Raw genomic sequence first — 21,499 nt, 5'->3', positions numbered from 1 at the left:
ATTCATATGCTGAAGCCCTAACCTAATGTGACTATATTTAGAGATAGAGCTTTTAGGAGGTAATTAAGGTTAAATGAAATCATAAGGGTAGTTCCTTAATTCAATAAGATCGGTGGCTTTGTTATCAGAAAAAAAAGGGTCTTGATCTAGACCCCAAGAGAGGGTTCTTGGATCTCATGCAGGAAGGAATTCAAAGTGAGTTGCAGAGTACAGTGAGGAGAGAGAGCTTATTGAGAGCAAAACATACAATTTACTTATATTACAGAGTAGGGCATCCTCAGAAAGCAAGTGGAGAATGCATTGTCTTCAAGTTTTTCTTATGTTGGGGTCTGATCTATGTAAAGACTAAGCTCTGCCTACATGCGGGGGTGCTGACAGCATGACAAAATTTATTATATTATTGCTTTAAAGAAATCTATCCTTGACATTTTAGTGTGTAAGTCATCAAAACACAACTATAATTATCTTGAAAGCATATATTGTTATGGGTAACTGGGACATCTGGACTTTCTGTTGCTGTAGGATTTTGTCCTAGCAGGCCTTATCAAGCTGCTTGCTTAGCTGCAAACATCTTAGGGCCATGAGTTGGAACTGGCAATGAATGTGTCTTGCTAGTTTTAAGATGGAGTTGATTTTAAAATGGTGTCACTCTGGCTCTGCTAGGTCATGCTTCCCTAACAGTATTATAAGAAGAGGAAGAGAGAGGTCACTCTCTGTGCACACGCACCAAGGAAAGGTCACCACGTGAGCACGCAGTGAGAAACTGGCCATGTGCATGACTGGAAGAGGGCTGTTACCGGAAACCAAACTGTCTGGCACTCTGACCTTGGACTTCCAGCATCCAGAACTTTGAGGAAATAAGTTTCTGCTGTTTAAGCCCCCAGTCTGTGATATTTTGTTTCGGCAGCTCAAGCAGACTAAGAATCCCCTCCTGAGAGGTCTGAAATTTTCAGTCCTTCTAGCCTATCTCCTTTTGTTCCCAAAGATGCAGAAGCAGTATCTAGTTTCATCACTTGCCAGCTTTTTGATAAATTATGTTCTATTTTTGCCTTTTTAGTTCTTCAATGTCCAGTTAATTATTTTTTTTTTTCCTGTTAAAATAAGTGTTTGTGGATTTTGACTCCTGCCTGGACCCTGCCTGATACAATACTAATAGCTCTGGAGCTCTCTCAACTACGGCTACAGATACTTTAACAGAAGGGCTAGTAGCAAATTTCCCAACCTTTGTCTCTCCTCAAACACATCTCTACCAAATTCCACCTGCCACTTCACACCTCTACTCATTACTAGTCTCCATTTTTTCAGCCCTACAATGGTGCTGTGTCCAGATTCTTCCTACCTCTTTACCTAGCTATTTTGCTTTCATACTGCAACTGAGTGACATACCTGGGTTTTGGTTCCATTTCCTCCATTAAATACAACTTCTCATATCCTTGCCTTAGAACTGGGCTGCACCACTTCCCTAAGATTGGGCCTAGCATTCCATGTTTTCCTGGGGTGGGGATAATAGACATAATTTAAAATTACACACCCAAACCAACTTCCTTAACTAAACTGCTCTTGTTTTTTCAAACTTTTAGAGCTTTCTGCTCTTGTAGGCTGTAAGATCTCAAAATAGCTCCAATTGGTTCTCCTGATGGCAGCAAAGGGAATTCTATGGTGTAGGTGGGGCACTTATATAAGAAAATTAATTTGTTATTAAGTCAGGCATCTTAAGTTTGGGGCAGCCTGAAATAATCACGTGTTTAGCTGTGCAATCAAAGAATATTTTTCAGGCAACACATCACGTTCATACACTTGCTGGTGACTTTTGCATGCTCAAGATTTGTTTCTGTGCATTTTTTAATGCTATATTTGAATCTTTTGTGTGTTTTTTATGTATTGAAAGCAACGGAACAATAAAAATTTTCTAGAGAGTTTATCTTTCCTTCCACAACAATGCTCCTCTTTCAATTATCTCTGTTCTCTTCTTAGGCTAACTGGTTTACTTTAATAGACTTTCTTTTACCTGTCACCATAAATCCCACAGTCACTAAAAAATGCTCCTGAACAGATGTAGAGTACTCTCTCAAAGTGCCCTGTTATCGACCTATCTTGTATAAGATAATAACATTTTTAGGCCCTGTTCATGTCAAGAATCCTGTTTTCTTGAAGCATACTTCTTGTAAACATGCTTTCATAGCCTTAGGCATAGGTGAGAAGGGAGGCTGGGGAACATTCACTCATTTAAATTTTCCTTACTTTCTCTGTGGCTGAAGAAAATAAAAATTCCCACCTATGTTCTAACATGAAGAGCTAAACTGCAGGAAGCAGACATTTTCAAGATACTCAGAAAGCCTCAGGACTAATAACGATCACATTGATTCAACACAGTGATCACTGTAGCCTGTGACCGTTGGCAAACAATTTTTATTTTCTCATCCTCCATGGGAAATCTACCATTTATGTCCATGGTGGCCCTGCTTTTTAACCCAAAGAACAAAACCTACTCTCAAATTGGTATAAATTTCCTCGTGTATACTTATGAGGTCAATAGGGAAATAATATTTGATAGGACTAACCCAGGAAATTGTCATATAGCTACTGTATCCATACCAGATGGACAAGCACTCCAGGAAAACCAATAGTGACTTTGAGGAAGCTTCATCTCACTTTAAAGGCACAGGGGCCGGCAAACTTCTACCATAAGAGGCTAGAGAATAAATATTTTAGGCTTTGGAGGCCACAAGGTCTCTGTTGCAACTACTCTATTCAGCTATTGTAGTGAAGTGGCATCGTTGTCTGCGGAAATACCCAAGGTTTGTCGTCTGGCACCAAGAAGATTAAGGATATGGACACACGCGTATAGAGTGGGTTTAAGAGGGGAAAAGTTTTAATAGAAAAACGAAAGAAAAGAGAGAGAGCTTCCTCATGCAGAGGAAGCGCTCAAGCGGGTTTCTGGGTTTAGGGTGGGGTGTGGTTGATTTTATAGAGGGGCTTGAGGAGGTGGTGATTGATTTACATAGGGCCCAGGGGATTGGTTTGACCAGGCGTTCCATTTACATAGCCCACGAAGAGACTGGCTGTCTCACCCTAATATTTTATTATGCAAAGGTGGCCTCCACCTGACCGGAGCCATGACACCTGCACAAGTGGCGACAAGCAGAGGGAGGAGGGAATCGCCATGTTCGATATACCTGACTTCCAGGTTCGGCTGCCAGCATTTACCTATGCAAGCTTCCAGCTTGTTTATTTATGTTTGCGGCTTGATTTTTTTAGGCTGCTTTCTGTTAGAAAAGAAACGGTCTGGGGGCTGCTTTTTATGAAAGAAATTCTACCGAGAACTCTTTTACCCCCACTAAATAATTTCTTATTAACTCCTATATCAGTAGCACAAAAGAAGGCACAGACAGTGTGTAAACAGACTAGCCTGATTGTGTTCAGTAACACTTTTTTTTTTTTACAAACCAAGCGGGAGATTGATTTTGGCTAATGGGTCAGAATTTGCCAACCTCCGCTCCAGGATATCCACGAATACTCTTTTACATAAAAACAAACATGCTACAAAAAATCCATATTCTGCTTTCCTGGCATTCCACATAATTACCTACAGGTTTTATACCTGTAAAAACATACAGAAAATATTGTCTCTCTTCTTTCAGCTTTCTGAATTGAGGTAATGAATTTTAAGCCCAGAGAGAAAGATGTTTAGTGCCATTTTGTCATTTCTTATTTGCTAGGGTTGTATATCAAGGCAAGACATTATCACTAACAGGACAAGACCTGGGCTCTAACTTAACCTCTTCCACCAGGGTAAACATAAGAGCATTCCAGGCCATTACAAACCAAATTAACCAGCTAAGACAGGTGAAGGCTAATGCTTCTAATGGTACTCAGGAAAATCAATCAGCCAAGACAAACAGAGATGGCTGTCAATGCTATATTGACAAACTGGTGGGTGGTTTACGGAAAGAAAAGGAAGTCAGTGAGGAAAATATTTGGATGAGCAACAGAGGATGAAATTCTTTTTAGACCCTTGAGGCAAAGGTTCAAGTTCAGGGTTCAAGTTAACGCAGTTCAGCGAGAAGATGCTTCTTCCACCAGTCTGATGAGCCAGTTCTTAAGGTAAGTTGGTTTTTATTTTGGGAGAATTTTTTTCTTTCTTTTTTTTTTTTTTTTTGGTAAATCACCAAGTTTGAAAAACCCAACTTTGAAATAGTTGTGCCTGAAGTTTTTAGAGTTGGGAAAATAATATTAGCAGCTAATATTTGAGTGTTTCCTGAGTTCTAGTTTTACACATTCCCTTATTTAGTATTCTTTATCATTATACCCCAGTTATAGGGGAGGAAGTCAGCTCAAAATGGCGAAGTAATCTACCCAATGACACACAGATATAAGAGGCAGGGCCAGGATTTGTTAGCAGGTCTGTCTGACCTGGAAGTTATACTCTCAATCATTACATTATACTGTTTCTAAGTTGTTTGCTCTCTTTACTTCTTGACAGCTAAATCTCCGGGTCACAAAGGATTTTGAAAGTACTTTTTAAATAGATGGTAAACTAAGTTTTAGCTCTCATTTTCAGAGACACTCAAGATTAAATTCTCTATCCACTGAGTTGCTTGAAGTTGTTACTGAGAGGACTGTGTCCTACTTAAATATGAAAATATTTATCCTGGGTCAGAAAAAGAAAGGAAAAGGAAAAATGGCAAAAGGAAGAGTTTGTTATATTTAATATTTAATTAATTTATTTAAATATTTAATTTAATTAATTTGTTTCAGTGACAGTTTAGGCAAAGTATCTTAGGGCCAGCACATTGATAAAATGAAATCAAAAATGCCAGTTTACATAAGATGTGGGATAGTAGAGAGGAAATCTTAATCACATACAAAGAAAAATCCAATACATATATATATATATAGATATATATGTGTATATATATATAGATATATATGTGTATATATATAGATATATATGTGTATATATATAGATATATATGTGTATATATCTATATATGTGCATATAGAGATATATATCTATATATGTGCGTATAGAGATATATATCTATATATGTGCGTATAGAGATATATATCTATATATGTGCGTATAGAGATATATATCTATATATGTGCGTATAGAGATATATATCTATATATGTGCGTATAGAGATATATATCTATATATGTGCGTATAGAGATATATATCTATATATGTGCGTATAGAGATATATATCTATATATGTGCGTATAGAGATATATATCTATATATGTGCGTATAGAGATATATATCTATATATGTGCGTATAGAGATATATATCTATATATGTGCGTATAGAGATATATATCTATATATGTGCGTATAGAGATATATATCTATATATGTGCGTATAGAGATATATATCTATATATGTGCGTATAGAGATATATATCTATATATGTGCGTATAGAGATATATATCTATATATGTGCGTATAGAGATATATATCTATATATGTGCGTATAGAGATATATATATATGTGCGTATAGAGATATATATCTATATATGTGCGTATAGAGATATATATATGTGCATATAGAGATATATATCTATATATGTGTGTATATATATATCTATATACAGATATATCTATAGATATATCTATATACAGATATTATAGATATATCTATAGACATATCTATATACAGATACATACATCTATATATAGATATATGTATACACAGATATATATCTATATATATCTAGATATATATGTATATACAGATATATATATCTATATATAGATATAGATAGATTTATGATATATCTAGATATATATCTATGTAGATATCTATATATCTATATAGTTATATCTAGATATATAGATATCTACATAGATATCTATATATCTAGATATATCTATATATAGATATATCTATATCTATATATATAGATATATAGATATCTAGATATATCTATATATAGATATCTAGATATATAGATATATCTATATAGATAGATATCTATACATCTATATATCTATATATCCAGCTAGATATAGATATAAGAATATTCCCATTATTGTACTAAGCTAGTCTCTTGAAGGAGCATTCATCCTGTTAACCAGGTATTACGTCTTCCTTTCATCTACTTAATGCATGTCTTCCTAACCTTGCAAATTTAAGAAATTTTGCTGCTAATATGTGGGTTGTATCACCTTGTTCTTTAAGATGGTTGTCAGATGTATGGTGCTTCTCCCTTTTTGTCATGGAATTTGACACATTTATGTAACACTGAGCCTTCACCCAGGGTTTTCCTGCTTTGGTCTCTATAACTGGATCCTGCAGGTTTGGTGAGTGGAGGCCATCCTTCTTTCTCCCCATTGCCGTCCCTCCCTCTCCCTATATGACGCATGTGTACAAAGCTCCAAAGCAGAGAGGGGAGAGCTGCAGGAAGGCAGTTTCTTAAGTTCTAAGGAAAACATGTAGGCTTCTAAATTTATTTATTTATCTTATTTTTTGGCTGAAGGAAGTAAAATAAATGGAGTCCAAGGAAAAACAACTCCCTCTGGGACCTTGGCTTCAGCTACCTCTCCTTGTTTTAATGAGATCATTTTTGATTCTGAGGTTTTGTCTCCAGAAAACCATCCAGAATGGAGCTGCTTTTGAAATATTAGGCATATCCCAGGACCCAAAACCCCGAGGAGTTCAACTGTCTGCAGATCATTTGGACCACCCACCTGTGGTAGCTGCACAGCCTGTCCAAACCCCACAGAAACGCAAATGCCTGCCTCTCACTATCTCTCCAAATGGCGCCCAGGAGGCTTTGCTCCTCCGTGGAATTGCTGAGCTAGACAAGAATATTACTCCTCTGGCCCAGTGTTACTTGCAGATGGAAGGGAAAGGAAAATTAAGACACAAATTCCATGGTTAAAATGAATAAATGTTGAACTCAGGAGACCAGTCTAAAACTGGGAAGGGAATTTTGGGCTTAATATACTAATGCCTCCATTCGAATATTTTTTTGCCCCAATACACTGAGAAAATATTGCAGTAGCATAATGAAATGTGAAATAGGAAAACTTTCATGTTGAAATTACTTTCAGATCTTGCTTATGGGTCATGCAAGGAAAACACTCATATGCCTTTATATTCAAAGCCATTTTTAAAATAAAAAATTGTTCACCCATCTTATTCACTAAACGACTTTTGGTTGTGTCCAAAAGAGGAGATCTACTTTGAAAAATTTGGTGCTACTGGTGGCATTGAAAAGAATGAAGGCTGTGAAAGTGTGGTAGCAGAAGTCTCAGAATGACCCCAAAAGCACTCATCTTGTGTAATCCCCTCCCCTGTGAATATGATGGGACATCACTCCTGTGATTATATCAAGTCACATGGTTTCTTAGTCTGTTCAGGCTGCTGTAACAAAACAGCATAGACAAGGTGGCTTATAAACAACAGAAACTGATTTCTCGCAGCTCTGGAGGTGGACCGTCTAAGATCAAAGTGTTGGCTGATTTGGTGTCTGATGAGGGCCCACTTCCTGGTTCATAGTCAGCTCCCTTCTCACCGTCTCCTCACATGGTGGGAGGGGGCAAGGAAACTCTCTGGAGCCTTTTTGTAAGGCCGCTGATCCCATTTATGAGGGCTCTGCTCATATGACCCAATCACCTCCGTAAGGCCCCACCTCCAAATACCATCCCATTGAGGCTTAGAATTTCAACCTGTAAATTTGGGGGAGGCGGGTGACATAAACATTTAGTCTATAGCACATGGCAAAAGGGACTTTGCATATATAAGTACTAATCATTCCTTTTTACAATAGAGAGAGATCATTTAGGTAAGTCAGGTTTAATTACATGATTCCTTTAAAAGTAGAGAATGGGCCGGGCCTGGTGGCTCACGCCTATAATCCCAGCACTTTGGGAGGCCGAGGCGGGTGGATCATTTGAGGTCAGGAGTTTCAGACCAGCCTGGCCAAAATGGTGAAACCCCATATCTACTAAAAATACAAAAATTAGCCTGGTGTGGTGGTGAGTGCCTGTAATCCCAGCTACTTGGGAGGCTGAGGCAGGAGAATAGCTTGAGCCTGGCAGGTGGAGGTTGTGGTGAGCCGAGATCACACCACTGCGCTCCAGACTGGGTGACAGTGAGACCCTGTCTCAAAAAAAAAAAAAAAAAAAAAAAAAAAAGTAGAGAATATTCTCTAGCTGGGAGAAGAAGTAAGAGAGATTCCAAGCATAAGAATGATGTTCTACCTAGTGGAGTGACTATAGCTGATAACAACATACTGTATATTTCAAGAGAGCTAGAAAAGAGGATCTTGAAAGTTATTACCAAAAAGAAATGATAATGCTAATTACCCTGAGTTTATCATTATTCAGTGTATACATGTATTGAAACATCACAATGTATCCTGCAAACATGTACGATTACTATGTGTCAATTATATACAACAAAAAGAAGAATGCCTTGACACTTATTGCTGGTTTGAAAATGGAGGGGGCCACATGATTAGAAATCTGAGCAGCCCCTAGAATATTGTGGCCCTCAGTTCACAGCCAGTGGACTGAATCTGCCAACCACCTGACTGAGCTTGGGAGCAGATCCTTCCCCCAGGGCCTCCAGATTAGAGCCTAGCACAGCTGACATCTTGATTTGAGCTGAGCAGAGAACCCAGCCAAGCCCACAAGGACTTCTGATCTGCAGAACTATGAGCTAATATTAGGTGTTACTTTTAAGTTAAGTTTGTGGTAATTTGTTATGCACCAATAACAAACTAATATAAGATGGGATGAAGGAACCCTTGAAGGGTATGAAGAGCCCAAAGGCATTCAGAATAATAAGTGCCTCCCTGGAACAAGGAACCTCTTTACAATGGAAGGAGACTCCTGGAGGTGGGAAAATGTTCAGGCAGATGTATAAATCCCAAGGTGAGTCTTAAGATTCTTATTATTTTATAGCCATATTCGATCAGTTGGCTTTGACTCTGCTCCTCAAAATCCACTCCTTCCTTCAAAACCCACCATGGCAGGAGGACTAGGAAGTTAGAGAGCCTCCTTGATCAGGCCAACATTGCCCAGTAGTGGCACACAAGGCCCATTTGTCCCTTTATCTCCCACATCTGCCCCTCTGCCTTTCGGGGCACAAGGGTTATGAGACTGTACTCTCTAGATGTCTGCTCTTGCCACACCATTATTCAGTCCTGACTGCCTCCTCCAACCCCACTAAACATGTTGTCCAACTACCTTGTAGGTAATGGACCCATTTTCTCCCCTGCCCAAGGAGGCTGAAACCAGATGGTCCAAGGAGGTTCTTACCAGACAACTTGGAAAGGGTGTAACTGGTACTCCCAGGGAAGCGGACATCCATGTCCAGGTGTCCAAATAGAAAAAGAGCAGGAGCTATAATCAGAGCCAAAAATCAGGAGCTAGCAAAATGGACACCACCACAGAAGATACTGGTGAGGAGTAAAATCACAGACTGGCTCAACTTCATCTTGGGTAGAATCATAACAGCTTGAGTCATCTTTAAAAATTAGATGTATACCTGTTGGGTCTGGCACTTTTATTCTATTTACCACTTTGAAATTCCATCCATTTGAATTTCCGTCTTTTTTCTATGTCTTATTGTGTTGGGACTTCTTTGCAGCATCGATACTATCACTCTCTCCCTATATCGTAAAACTTCTCTCCTAACTTTCCTGACACCAGCTTCTCCTACTTTTCCAACTGTCCCTGATTTCTTCTTCTGTCTTAGTTCTGGCTGATATGATGAAGTACCGCAGAGTCTATTTTCCATAGTTCTGGAGACTGGAAGTCTGAGATCAGAGTGCCAGCATGGTTGTTTCTCATGAGGGCTCTCTTCTAGGTTGCAGACTATCAATGTCTTGTGTCCTCACGTGACAGAAAGAAAGTGAGATAGCTCTCTGGCCTGTTCTTCTAAGGGCACTAATCCCATCCATGGGGCTCCACCCTCATGACCTAATTACATCCCAAAGGTCCCCGCCCCACATACTATAACACCAGGGATTCAGTTTCAACAAGAATTTTAGGGGAGGTGGGGCACAAGTATTTAGTTCACAACACTTTCTTTTTTTGAGATCCTCTGGCTCCACTCACCCTTAAAATTGGCGTTACCCAATGATTTATCTTTAACCAGCTTCTCAGTTTCTCCATTCATCCTGGTTTTTTCTTTCACTGCTATGGCTTGGATTCATCACTCAAATATGCTGATGATTCCGAAATCTTGATCCCCCATCCATTTTTATTTCTTTAGCTCTACATATGGACATACCACATCTCCTGGACACTGGAATTTGGATGTTCTGTTGGTACTTCAAATTCGACATGTCTGTTCCCCAAATCATATTCTTACTGGGTCAATTCTCTGGTTTAATAACATCATGATGCACCAAATGTTAACCATAAATCTACCTATTGTGGATGTTGGATTCTCATGCTCACACCCTGAGACCCAAGTTACTTAGGCTAATAACAGTTAACATCTAACAAGGCGCAATTAACTAGTTATTCCTTGGCTTTACAGTAAAGAAAGACAGCAAGAAAAAAAAAAAAGACTAATGTGAGAATATCATTAGCTGATAGGGATGTGAGTGAACACTGTCACCTTGATCAAATCTATATGCCAAAGGAACAGAGCTCTCACTGGAAACCGTGTTAGGCAAAGCATAATCTGATATCGACAAGATAATCCTCTTCCAAAAATTCTCTCAATCTAATCATAGGAGCTCATGCTTCTCCATCAACTGGAAGAGCGTCATCCCCTGAGGAGTCAAAGCCAAGATCGTGGTTGTTTTCTTACCTGAACAGCCAAGTCCCCAGCAGTTTCAGCTTCCCAGTGAGTTGTCAGAATTTCCTGGAACAAATCGCCCAATAGCCTCCACTGCTCCTGGCCTATTTCTGCTGGTTTCTATCCTTCATGCAAGCCAGGAATATAATTTACACACACCTCTTGTTACTATTCCATTTAATTATAATATAATCCCACACATGCAAACAAGAAAACAGCAATCATGTTTTATTCCAACTCCTAATTGCATGTAGCAATCATGTGCTTTCACTAAATTATTTCCATCAAGCAGAAATAGTGCCATTATTTCAGGAATGCCAAAAGGCCCACCTGCAGTCCCCACCCCCATCAGCAAAGCCAATTCGAGTCTCATACACTTGCCCTGCAATTTCATATAGTGGCCCTCCCCCATAAACACACACGCGCGCACATAGACACCACACAAGCATACAGACACACCAGACACCACACATACACACACACCAGACACCACACACACACCACACACCACACACACCCCACACACACCACACCACACACACACACACACACACACACACACACACTTTCACACTCTGAATCTCTGTATGTTCAGCTCCCCTGTTCTTTCCCTTCCCACCAGCATCTTAGGCCCTGAGATGTCAAGTGATTACTCAACACTCTCCTTTTATCTATTGTGGCTTAGAACATTCTCAGCTGGGCTTCCTAACTAACCATTTCCTGTTCCTCTAATTCTAAAATACATCCATCTCTGTTTCTCACAGGGAGAGCCCTTATTAATCTCTTTTCTTAATAACACCTTAAACCTAGTCTTCATAAGACTCTCTTAATGAGTCTCTCTCCTCTGGAGCTGGAACATCCTCCTTTTCCTGCCCTTAGGTGTCAGAATTCCAGGTTCTCAGGCCTTTGGACTTAGACCAATCCATGCTACCATCTTCCCTTGTTCTCCAGCTTATGAACAGCCTATTGTGGGACTTCTCAGCCTCCATAATTGAGTAGCTAATTCCACTAATAAATCCCTTTTCATACATCTCTCTCTCTTTATATATTCTATTATTTCTGTCTCTCTGGAGAACCCCTGACTAAAACATTGCACCAACCAATCATCAACTTTTCTTATTTTTGAATAACAACAACAAAAACAGAATAAAAGAAAGAAAGAGAAAAGAAGAATGTCCTTTTCTCTGTGTTCATTCTGAAACTCATTTACACTAGGAATTGTGTGTTCCTTGCCTGATTCTCTCCCAACTTGTTTTCTGCATTGTATCATTGGAAATAAGCCTAGGAATTACTTAAGTCATGCATATAAAAATGAAAACTAGAGAAAGAAAACATGAGGTAGTAAGGTGGTAAATTACTAAGCACTGGGGTCGGCAAATGTTTGAATTTTTGCTTCTGCTTTTCAAGGTTTTGTGCTGTTGGGTGCATTCCAAACTAGGCTTCAAGCCTAGTCATCTCAGTAGGTATTTTTTTCCTTTTCCTTTTTTTTCAGACTGTGTTATCAATCATGCTTTCCTAAAGGTTCACAGACTATTTGCAAAGCAAAGGGGAGCCTCAGTGTCCCAAGGCAGGATTACCATTTGCAGCAGGAATTAGGAATGAAACCAGGAAGGATTCAGTCTTGCATTGCTCTCTGTGTTTGAAAGGGAAAAAAAAAAAAAGGCTGAGAGTGCTCTGAGGACTTAAAAACAACCAGCATGACTTGACCATTTGAAAAAGAAATCCTGGAGCAGCATTCCAGAAACACGAAGACAAGCTCAGCACTGTGCAACCGAAGGAGGTCACTCCTCTGGGAGTATTTCATGGAATTAAGAGAAATGACTTTTAAGAAGTAGCTGTCTGAATGAGAACAATTGCAGACTTTCTTTTTTTCTAGGACTGAGCTCCATGCTCACTAGTCTTAAAACGCAAAAGTTAAACATAAAATGAAACAGGAAAAACTAAATATATTTTCCAACTGTCTCCTTGTGGCCAGCTGCCAATCAGCCTAGACTGGGTGGTGATTCTTGCCTTAAAGTTAGCAGAGAGATAGGCTGGATTGTTTTTCTGGCTTTTTTTTTTAAAAAATAAGTATTGTATTTTAGTCATTTTAGTTGTGAAAGGCTTTGAAGTTTAACATGAAAGAAGAACAAAGAGTGGTCAGAGTTTAGGTTTATAAATTCACTTCTACTATTCAACAGATGCAAAAAGCACATGGTTTCTTGTAGCTTCAGTTTTCTGATCCATAAAATGAAAATGCTGCAAGGCTGGCTTTTTCCTGTTATTCAGATCCTGCTTTAAGTGTCTCCTCTCATAGAAGTATCCTATCCAAAGGGTCTCCTTTCAACACCTAGCTGCCTCTGTCACATCACCGAGTTCTAATTTCTTCCCTAAACTCTGCTTTTTTGTTTGTTGCCTGTCTCCCCCAGTTAGGGTATAAAAATTATGAGGGTAAGAAATTTTATTTCTTTATGAATTCATTTAACAAATATTGTTTAGTGACTTCTCGGTACTAGATATTGTCCCATGCCCTGGGGATATGTCAGTAAGTAAAGTAAGGAGATGCAGTCCTTGTTTTTAGATAGAGAAGTCAGGCCTGGAAATAAGCAAATATGCCTTGAAATAAGCAAATAAGCAAATCACTTTGTAACATGTCCAGTGGCAATAGGTGTTTTGAAGAAATAGATATGGGAATTAAATGGGATCATACAGGGTAGGTGGTGAAATTTATACAGGATGGCCAGGGAAGGCCACTGAGTATGCAACATTTTAACGGGACTTGAAGAAAGTGAAGAAGCAAGACCTGGAGCTGGGGTATCCCAGAAAGTGGGAGCCCCCAAGGGAAAAGGCCCAGTTTGGTTGTTCCAAGGGCAGTGTGGCTGGTGCACAGGTGGAGGAAATGAAGAGGACAGAATGAATAGTTCATAGTATAGACTTTTGGTTTTATTCTGACTGAGATGAAAAGGCTGGCTGGTTCTACTGTGGCTGCTATGAGCTGACAAGATTGAAGATGAGCTTTGCTGGAAGCAGTGTGAGGTTAGAGCAGTGATCCAGCCAAGAAATGAAGGTGATTTGGGTGGTGTGATAACAGTGGCAGCGTGTACACAAACTTTGATTCCAAGATCTCCTGACAGATTGAATGTGGAGTGGGGAGGAGAGAGAATTAGCAACGTCTCCCAGGCTGTAGCCTGAACAAATGAACAGATGGAAAGATTAGGAGAGAATAAGGGTGAAGGCAAGGATGAAGAGTTTGGTTTTAGACCTATAAACTAATTTTGAAATACATATTAGAAATCCAACAGTAAATGGTGAATATGTTCAGAACTCAGAAGTTCAAGAGAAGATATACAGGCTAGAGATACACATTTAGCAAACATCATCAAATAAATAAAATTTAAAATCATCTTTTTCACCATTGTATTTTCAGTGCCCAGTAGAATATTGACACTCAATAAATATTTTTCTAATGAATGGATGAATGTTATGAGGTCCAATAAGATAATGGGCAAGAAAGTGGTTTTTCTTTCAAACTATAAACTCCTTCAAATAAAAGGCTAGACACAATATTCTAATATTATGTTTATTTAACAAACAGAAAACCTTTGAATGAACAATAGAGTTAGCAAGAGTACAACCAAGTGCAATTAGAAATCTTGCCTCCAACAGAAACAAACTCCAGATGGGTGTTTTCCCCCTTCCCCTTTTGATACTTAAAGTTGATACAGTTTAATGTGCAATTAAAGGCAGTAAAGCTTCAGAGAAAAATGAATGCTAGTGAAGTATAACAATTTTCTTAAAATAATGATCCTTCAAACTGTCAAAAAGGTTTTTATACAAAATTTCAAACTGTCTCAGAGGAAATGCTTTTCCAAAAGGTAATTATAAAACTATATGGATTTCATATGGACTTTCCCTCTCCAGATCACTCCATAAGTCTAAATTCATTTGGCATTATTTTGCATTGAATAAAAATAGTCTTGACTTCCATCTTTTTGCCTTTTAGGCTATAGTATGACATTTTAATATTTTTAAAGTTTCTCGATAAAAGGAAACTATTGTTTAGGGGCTTAAGCAACCACCCAGTAAAATTATCTGGCTGTTTTTTTAAACACACGATAGATGTTAGAAGTCACATGATCTATTCCCTCTACCGCTTATGGAAATATCAGGGTTAAGGGTTTTCTGTCTTTAAAAGCTGAGCATTCTGATGTGAAGATTTCAACTTTTTCTAGACCAAGAGGGAAGATAGGCAGGTGGGTGAATGGATGGGTGAGTGGTGAATAGATGAATGAATAGATAAATGGATGGATGGTTGGAGGGACAGATGAATGGAGAGAAGTGAGGGCTAAGGAGAAAAAGAGAAAGGTAGGCAGGCATGAGAGTGAATGGGAAAATGAGATACTCTGACTTGACAAATTGTCAAAATAACTCAACAATGTAAAGATAACCTTTATAACAATTGACTGGCACAACTAACATCTCTATGGGAAAAATAAACCTTGATGCTTACTTCAGATTATACACAAAAATTAACTTGAAATGAATCATAGATGTAAGTGTAGAAACTAATCTATAAAATCTCTTGAAGAAAACATAGGAGCAAAACTTTTTGACCTAGTGTGTTAAGCAAAGAGTTCTTAGATAAGCTACAAAAGCATGAATCTTATAAAAGAAAAAATTGATATATTAAACTTCACCAAATTTTAAATATTTTGCCCTTTGACAATCACTGCTAAAAAAGTGAAAAGTCATACCAAAGACTGGGAGAAAAAACTTGCAAGACAAACGCCTGATAAAAGCCTGCTAGTCAGAATATATAAAGAAATTTTACAATTTCAGAATTTTAAAACTGAGTGAAAGCTTTGAAGACATACTTTATCAAAAGAGATATAATAATGACACATGAGCATATAAGAAGATGCTCAACATAATTAGTTTTCAGAGAAATGCATATTACAACCACAATAAAATACTAATACACACCTAATAGAATGGCTCAAATTTAAAAGAAAGAAAGAAAACTGATAATGACATTTACTCTCCAGTCATGAGGAAATAATGGGGACCAGATTTACCTTCCTGCCAGGAACTATTAGAAAACTGAGCAAAATATATGAAATAATAATTTTCAGAAATTAAACAACGGATATCACAGGGATACAATCCCAGAAAAGAGCAAATCAAGATGAGCCCTTCAATTGCATCAGCTTATAACCTGGAAGCAGTTTCCAGGATGCAGTGCAGGGAGAGAGAACCCAGATAGAGCCTAAAATTTCACCAAGTTTAGGAGGCAGAAATTGCAGTTTCAGGAGACCAACATGGCTAGAATTTGTGGGTTGGAATATTAGAGAGGAGTAATCTACATAGAGAAAAAAAATTCAGAAATCTGCAGAAAGATCCACTTAAGACTTTTGATGAGTACTGATAGGAAACTATCTGAGGTTAGGAAACAAACCACTGCATAGAAGTGGGCAGAACAATTTCCAGAGCTCATACAAGGCTGGAAATTGTTGCTGTTTCCACAAACCAGAGTGGAAAGACTTCCTGATGGATGGATATCAGACAAAACTTTCAGAAGCCTCAATAGTGGGGCTAACATCCGCTAAATTAAGGTACTCTAAACCTATGCTAAAAATTTCAAAAGCACGGCTTGAAAGCATCCAGCTGATTTCATGTAATTTAAATATACAGCAGAAGAAAATCCAACACTATTTAAAGAAAAGTAACAAAATTTAGCAACCAAAAATCTAAAACTCACAAGGCACAGGATCCAATCCAAAACTGTCAGGCATGTAAACAAGTTGGAAAAGATGACGCATGACCAAAAGAAAAATCAGCCAATAAAACCAGCTCCAGAAATGACATACATGATGGAACCATTAAATAAGGACATTCAAACAGTTATTTTAAATATGTTCCATATGTTCAAGTAGATGATAGAGAAAAACCTGTTGGGATTAAGAACAGATTAATTACAAAGGAAAAGATCAGTGAACCTGAAGGCATAGCAATAGAAAGCATCCAAAATGAAGCACAGAGAGGGAAAATGACTGAAAAAAACAAAGCCTCTGTGACCTGTAGGACAATATTACATGATATAACTGCTTGTAACTGTATTCCCAGAAGGAGAAGAGGGGTCAGAAAAGAAAAATGTTCGAACAAAGTATTGCCAAAATGTTTTATATTTGATAAGAACTGTAAATCCATAGTTCCAAGAAGATCAACAGGACCCAAGTGAAATAAATGTAAAGGGTACTATTTCAAGTGACATTATAATAAAATCTCTGAAAATCAGTTATAAAACTAAAATCTTTAAAAAACCCAGAGAAAAAAAGGCATATATTCCAAGGAACAGAGACAAGAATGACAGCTGACTTCTCTTCAGAAACATTGCAAGCCAGAATAGAATAGAGACAGGTCTTTAAAGTAATGGCATTTAGGAAGGGGAGGAGGGAAAAGAAAGAGAGCTGCCAAATTAGAATTATTTATTCAGTAAAAATACCTTCGAGCTGAAAGGTGAAATAAAGACTTTTTCAGACAAACAATAGCTGAAAGAATTATCACCAACAGATTCATGCTATAAAAAATATTAAAGATAGTTCTTCAAAGAGAAGAAAAATTATAGGAGATGGAAATCAGGATTTACACAAAAGATTGAAAACCACTATAATTGCTAAAAATGTGAGTGGGCAAATTTAAAAGCCATTTTCTTCATTTTTAACCTCCTTAAAACATAATTGACTGTTTAAAGCAAAAATAGTAACAATATATTGTGGAATTTGTAACAGAAGTAACAAGTATGACAATAATGAAGCAAAGAATGGGAAGGGGGAAAGCATCATGTTTTATAGATTTTACATGTGAAGTTGTATATTACTTTAAAGTAGACAGTGATAAGTTAATGATGCATATTGTAAGCATAAAAGCAATTACTTAAAAACTGAAACAAACATACAAAAGCAATAAAGCCAATACCAATAGTGGAAATAGAAAGACTGACAACATCAAATGTGTATGAAGATGTAGAGCGACTAGAACTTACACTGGAAATATAAAAGTATAAGAACTTTGGAAAACAATTTGTGGTTTTCTATACAATTTAAACAAACTTGCCATAAAACCTAACAATCTCACTCCTAGGTATTTATCCCCCCAAATTAAAACATATATTCCACATTAAGACTTGTACATGATTGTTCACAATAGCTTTATTCCTAATAGCCTCAAACTGGAACCAAATATCCATCAACTGGTGAATGGATAAATTGAGCTATGTTTATACACATGTATGTGTATATGCACACACATATACCAGCATATTACTCAGCAATATAATAAAACTAACTACTGACACATGCCAGAATATAGATGCATCTCAGAGGCATAATGCTAAGCAAATGAAAGAAGCCAAACAGAAAAGACTCTTTTCTGTTCAATTCCATGTATAGTTGTCCCTCAGTATCCATAGAGGATTGTTTCCAGGACCCCCCAAAATACCAAAATCAATAGATGCTTGACTCCCTTATATAAAATGGCCTAGTATTTTCATATAACCTATGGACATCCTCCCATATACTTTAAATCATCTCTAGATTACTTATAATACCTAATAGAATGTAAGTGCTATGTAAATAGCTATTATACTGTATTATTTTCATTTATATTATTTTTATTGTCAATTTTATTGTTTTTTCTCTAATATTTTCAATGGACAGTTGGTCAACTCTGCAGATGAAGAATCTGTGGATATGAATGGCCTACTCTATATGATATTATTAAATAGGCAAAGACTGTAGTGACAGAAACAGGCCAGTACTTACCACGACCTGGGAGTGGCAGGAGGGAATTGACTGCAAATGTGCAAGAGAGAACATTTCAGGGTAATAGAAATGTTCTATGTCCTCATTGTGATGATGGCTATGTAACTGTGTACATTATCTTCCAAGCATTCACCTAAAAGTTGCAAGCCTTCCACAGAATGCAGAGTTTCTAAATAGATACAGATTCTAATGCAACTGTGTAGATGAGGATTCCTAGTGATTCCTATTCCACCATCTTCCAAGAATCATCTACTAACTAGTAGTTTATTAAGCTAATATAAGACAGGAAAGAAGGACAAAAGAAAGAACAAAGGGAACAAACAGCAAATAAGTGGACTTATGCCCAATCGTATCAATAATTACATTAAATGTAAATAGAGCGAACACTCCAATTAAAGACAAAGCTTTTCTTACTGGATGAAAAAACATAAAAGCCCAATACATGTTGTTTACAAATTATTCCCTTTAAATATAAGATAGAAACTCCCAGTTAGAAAGAAAGAGAAAACACAAATTGCCAATATCACACTTGATAAGGCATGTGTACAGCTGCTGATATTTAAAGTATCATATCTATTACGTTCATATCGAAGGTGTACAACCTAACATGATATTACAACTGGCTAAATGTTGATTCAGGATAATAACAACCATAACCCATGAATTGTGCTAACCAGTTCATCTACATCTTTTTTATTTAGTCTTCCCAAAACCCTGTTGTGTAGATGCTGTTTTTGTTCGTAGTTTATAGATGAGGAAATTGAGGTTTATAGAGAATAACTCACTTGCCCAAAGTCACACAGCTTGTTAATAGTAAAACCGCTTACTTATTGGACTCCTATCCTGGGAATATTCCTAGAATCATAACTGTCTCATCAGAATGAATCTAAATGCATATGTTATTTTTTAAAGGAAGAGTAGCTTTTCTTTTTCTGAAACAATTCTACAGGCTGAAAGTCTTGAAGGGAGAATGGAAAAGCTACTCACTGAATTGCTGCCACTGTTGCCGTGGAAACCTGAAAAGAGATTACATACACATCAGTTTTACAACTCCATCTTTTAATAGGTGCAGAACGTAACCACAGGCTGCCAACTCCTCATGGAAAATTCCCAGAAAAATCCATCTAATCAAAAATCTCTTCCCCTTTTTTAATACAAAAATCCCAATTCACAGAGTAAGCTGAGCTCTGTCAGAGAGGGTGGATAATGATTCCCTTTTCCTGAACTGTTGCTCATCCACTGACTGTTGAGGAGGGAACCAAGACAATGAAATTAAAATAATGCTGAAAAGCAAGAACAAGAAACTACAAGGCATTGGATGCATATGTCTTAAGAGCCAGGTCAAGCGGCACTGGAGGGGGCGCTGTGGGTACTGACTTGAACAAATGGTAAATATCACTGAGATAAATATGCAAATGTAAAGTGGTCCCACCCATGGTAACAAAGGCAGCATCCTCCACTGGGAGCAAAATGAAACACTGTTTGGTAGCACAGACCTAACTCTGTTGAGCATTTCGGTGATGCTGAGGTACAGACACTGTCAATGGAAAGTGAGTTGTCACAGTAAGATGGAATTCTGAAACTGAATACAGTATAAGTCTGTTTACAAAGTAAAAGTAATGTCCTTGCTTATCTAAAAAGGCCCGTTCATAAGTCTCCCTAAAAGCTGATTTGAAAAGTTACAAAGAAAACTAAAGCAAGAATAGTAAGTAGAGAAAAAGACATGATGTGCCCATTTTCATGACTTTGGACTTTGGGTTAGCCAATAAAAATGATTTAGTAGATATATTAATTAGGATTGGATTTAGTTGCAGATGACAGGAATCTCAAAGTAACCATAGCTTAAACAACATAGAATTTTACTTCTCTCTCACTTAAAAGTCTGCATAGGTCATCTATAGCTGATATGGCAGCTTCACGATCATCAGAGATCTAAGCTCCCCGAGCTTGTTGTTTGACCACTCTCAGCATGCAGTTTCTGACTCATGCTCCAAAATGGCTATTCGAGCTGCATCCCACATATCCACAGCAAAGCCAGCAGAAAGGAGAAAAGAATGGAGAAGGCCACTAGCTTTCCCTTTAAGGACACTGCCCTGAAGTTTCCTACACTTCTATTTACATCCTATTGGCCATGTACCACGTGGGCTTGATCTACCTGTGTGCCCCAGACAAGCAGGACTTCACATGTTGAATAGAAATAACCAGAGAAAGAGGGAGACAGTTGTTCTCTGTATAGTTTAGGGAACCATAGGACTCAGGTTTGATTCATTTGTTCATATATTCATTCAAGACACAATTATTAGTCATATAGTATGTGTCAGGCTCTGTGTTCGATTCTGGAAATAAAAAAGACAATAGCAACACATCAATAAGCAAATCATTTCAACACAATGTGAAATAAATTTCATATAGGTTAAAAAAAAGTAGCTAACTTTGTTGTGTTGCAAGAAAGAGCTTTTAAGAAAATTTCACAGAGGAAATGCCATGTAAACTAAGTCTTTAAAAAATAGGACTTAGCCAATGAAGAAGAGCTAGGGGGAGAGGGTGGAGGAGAGGCAAGAGTTGCTGGAGAGTATTAGAAAATGGAGAAGCCATTCCAGACAGCAGGATGAACAGATGCAAATGTGACAAAATATGAGAAAGTATAGCTTGCTAGGAAATGCTCAGGAGTTCCACAGGACTTGGAATGGGGATGAGAGATGCAGGAAGAGAGCCAGTGGGGAGGAGTGGTAGAAGATGAGGCTGAAACACAGGCAGAGGCCCCATGGTGAAGGGTTTTGTGGACAGATTGGAGAGCTTACACATCATTCTGCACTCAGAAGGAAGCCACTAGAGAGATCTAGGAATGAGAGGATCACAGCGAGATTGAATTTTGAAAGATTAATCTGGAAGATGTGGAAATGTGGAAGAAGCCAGGAGACAGGCATGATTGAAA

The 21,499-nt window shown here is 37.8% G+C and overlaps 1 long non-coding RNA gene across 1 annotated transcript in view, besides 2 other annotated features; it reads right to left on the bottom strand.

The window, feature by feature from the left end:
- Positions 1-21,499, bottom strand: part of LINC01500 (long intergenic non-protein coding RNA 1500) — a 189,041-nt gene that overhangs the window by 49,436 nt on the left and 118,106 nt on the right. Inside the window, exon 4 of the long non-coding RNA NR_110547.1 lies at positions 19,552-19,580. This is a non-coding gene — a long non-coding RNA (long intergenic non-protein coding RNA 1500). The remainder of the gene's footprint in view (positions 1-19,551; positions 19,581-21,499) is intronic.
- Positions 11,229-11,730: an enhancer, noted in NCBI's record as "NANOG hESC enhancer chr14:59422881-59423382 (GRCh37/hg19 assembly coordinates)". NCBI's record gives its function as "activates a minimal SCP1, AML or CMV promoter by ChIP-STARR-seq in naive H9 embryonic stem cells {active_cell/tissue: H9 hESC(naive)}" and the evidence as "EXISTENCE:reporter gene assay evidence [ECO:0000049][PMID:30033119]".
- Positions 13,669-13,788: an enhancer, noted in NCBI's record as "active region_8455". NCBI's record gives its function as "activates an Ori minimal core promoter by ATAC-STARR-seq in GM12878 lymphoblastoid cells {active_cell/tissue: GM12878}" and the evidence as "EXISTENCE:reporter gene assay evidence [ECO:0000049][PMID:35858748]".

This window comes from Homo sapiens, chromosome 14 (assembly GCF_000001405.40).
Source record: "Homo sapiens chromosome 14, GRCh38.p14 Primary Assembly".
NCBI lineage: Eukaryota > Metazoa > Chordata > Mammalia > Primates > Hominidae > Homo > Homo sapiens.
This window is presented reverse-complemented; position numbering and strand designations above follow the sequence as displayed.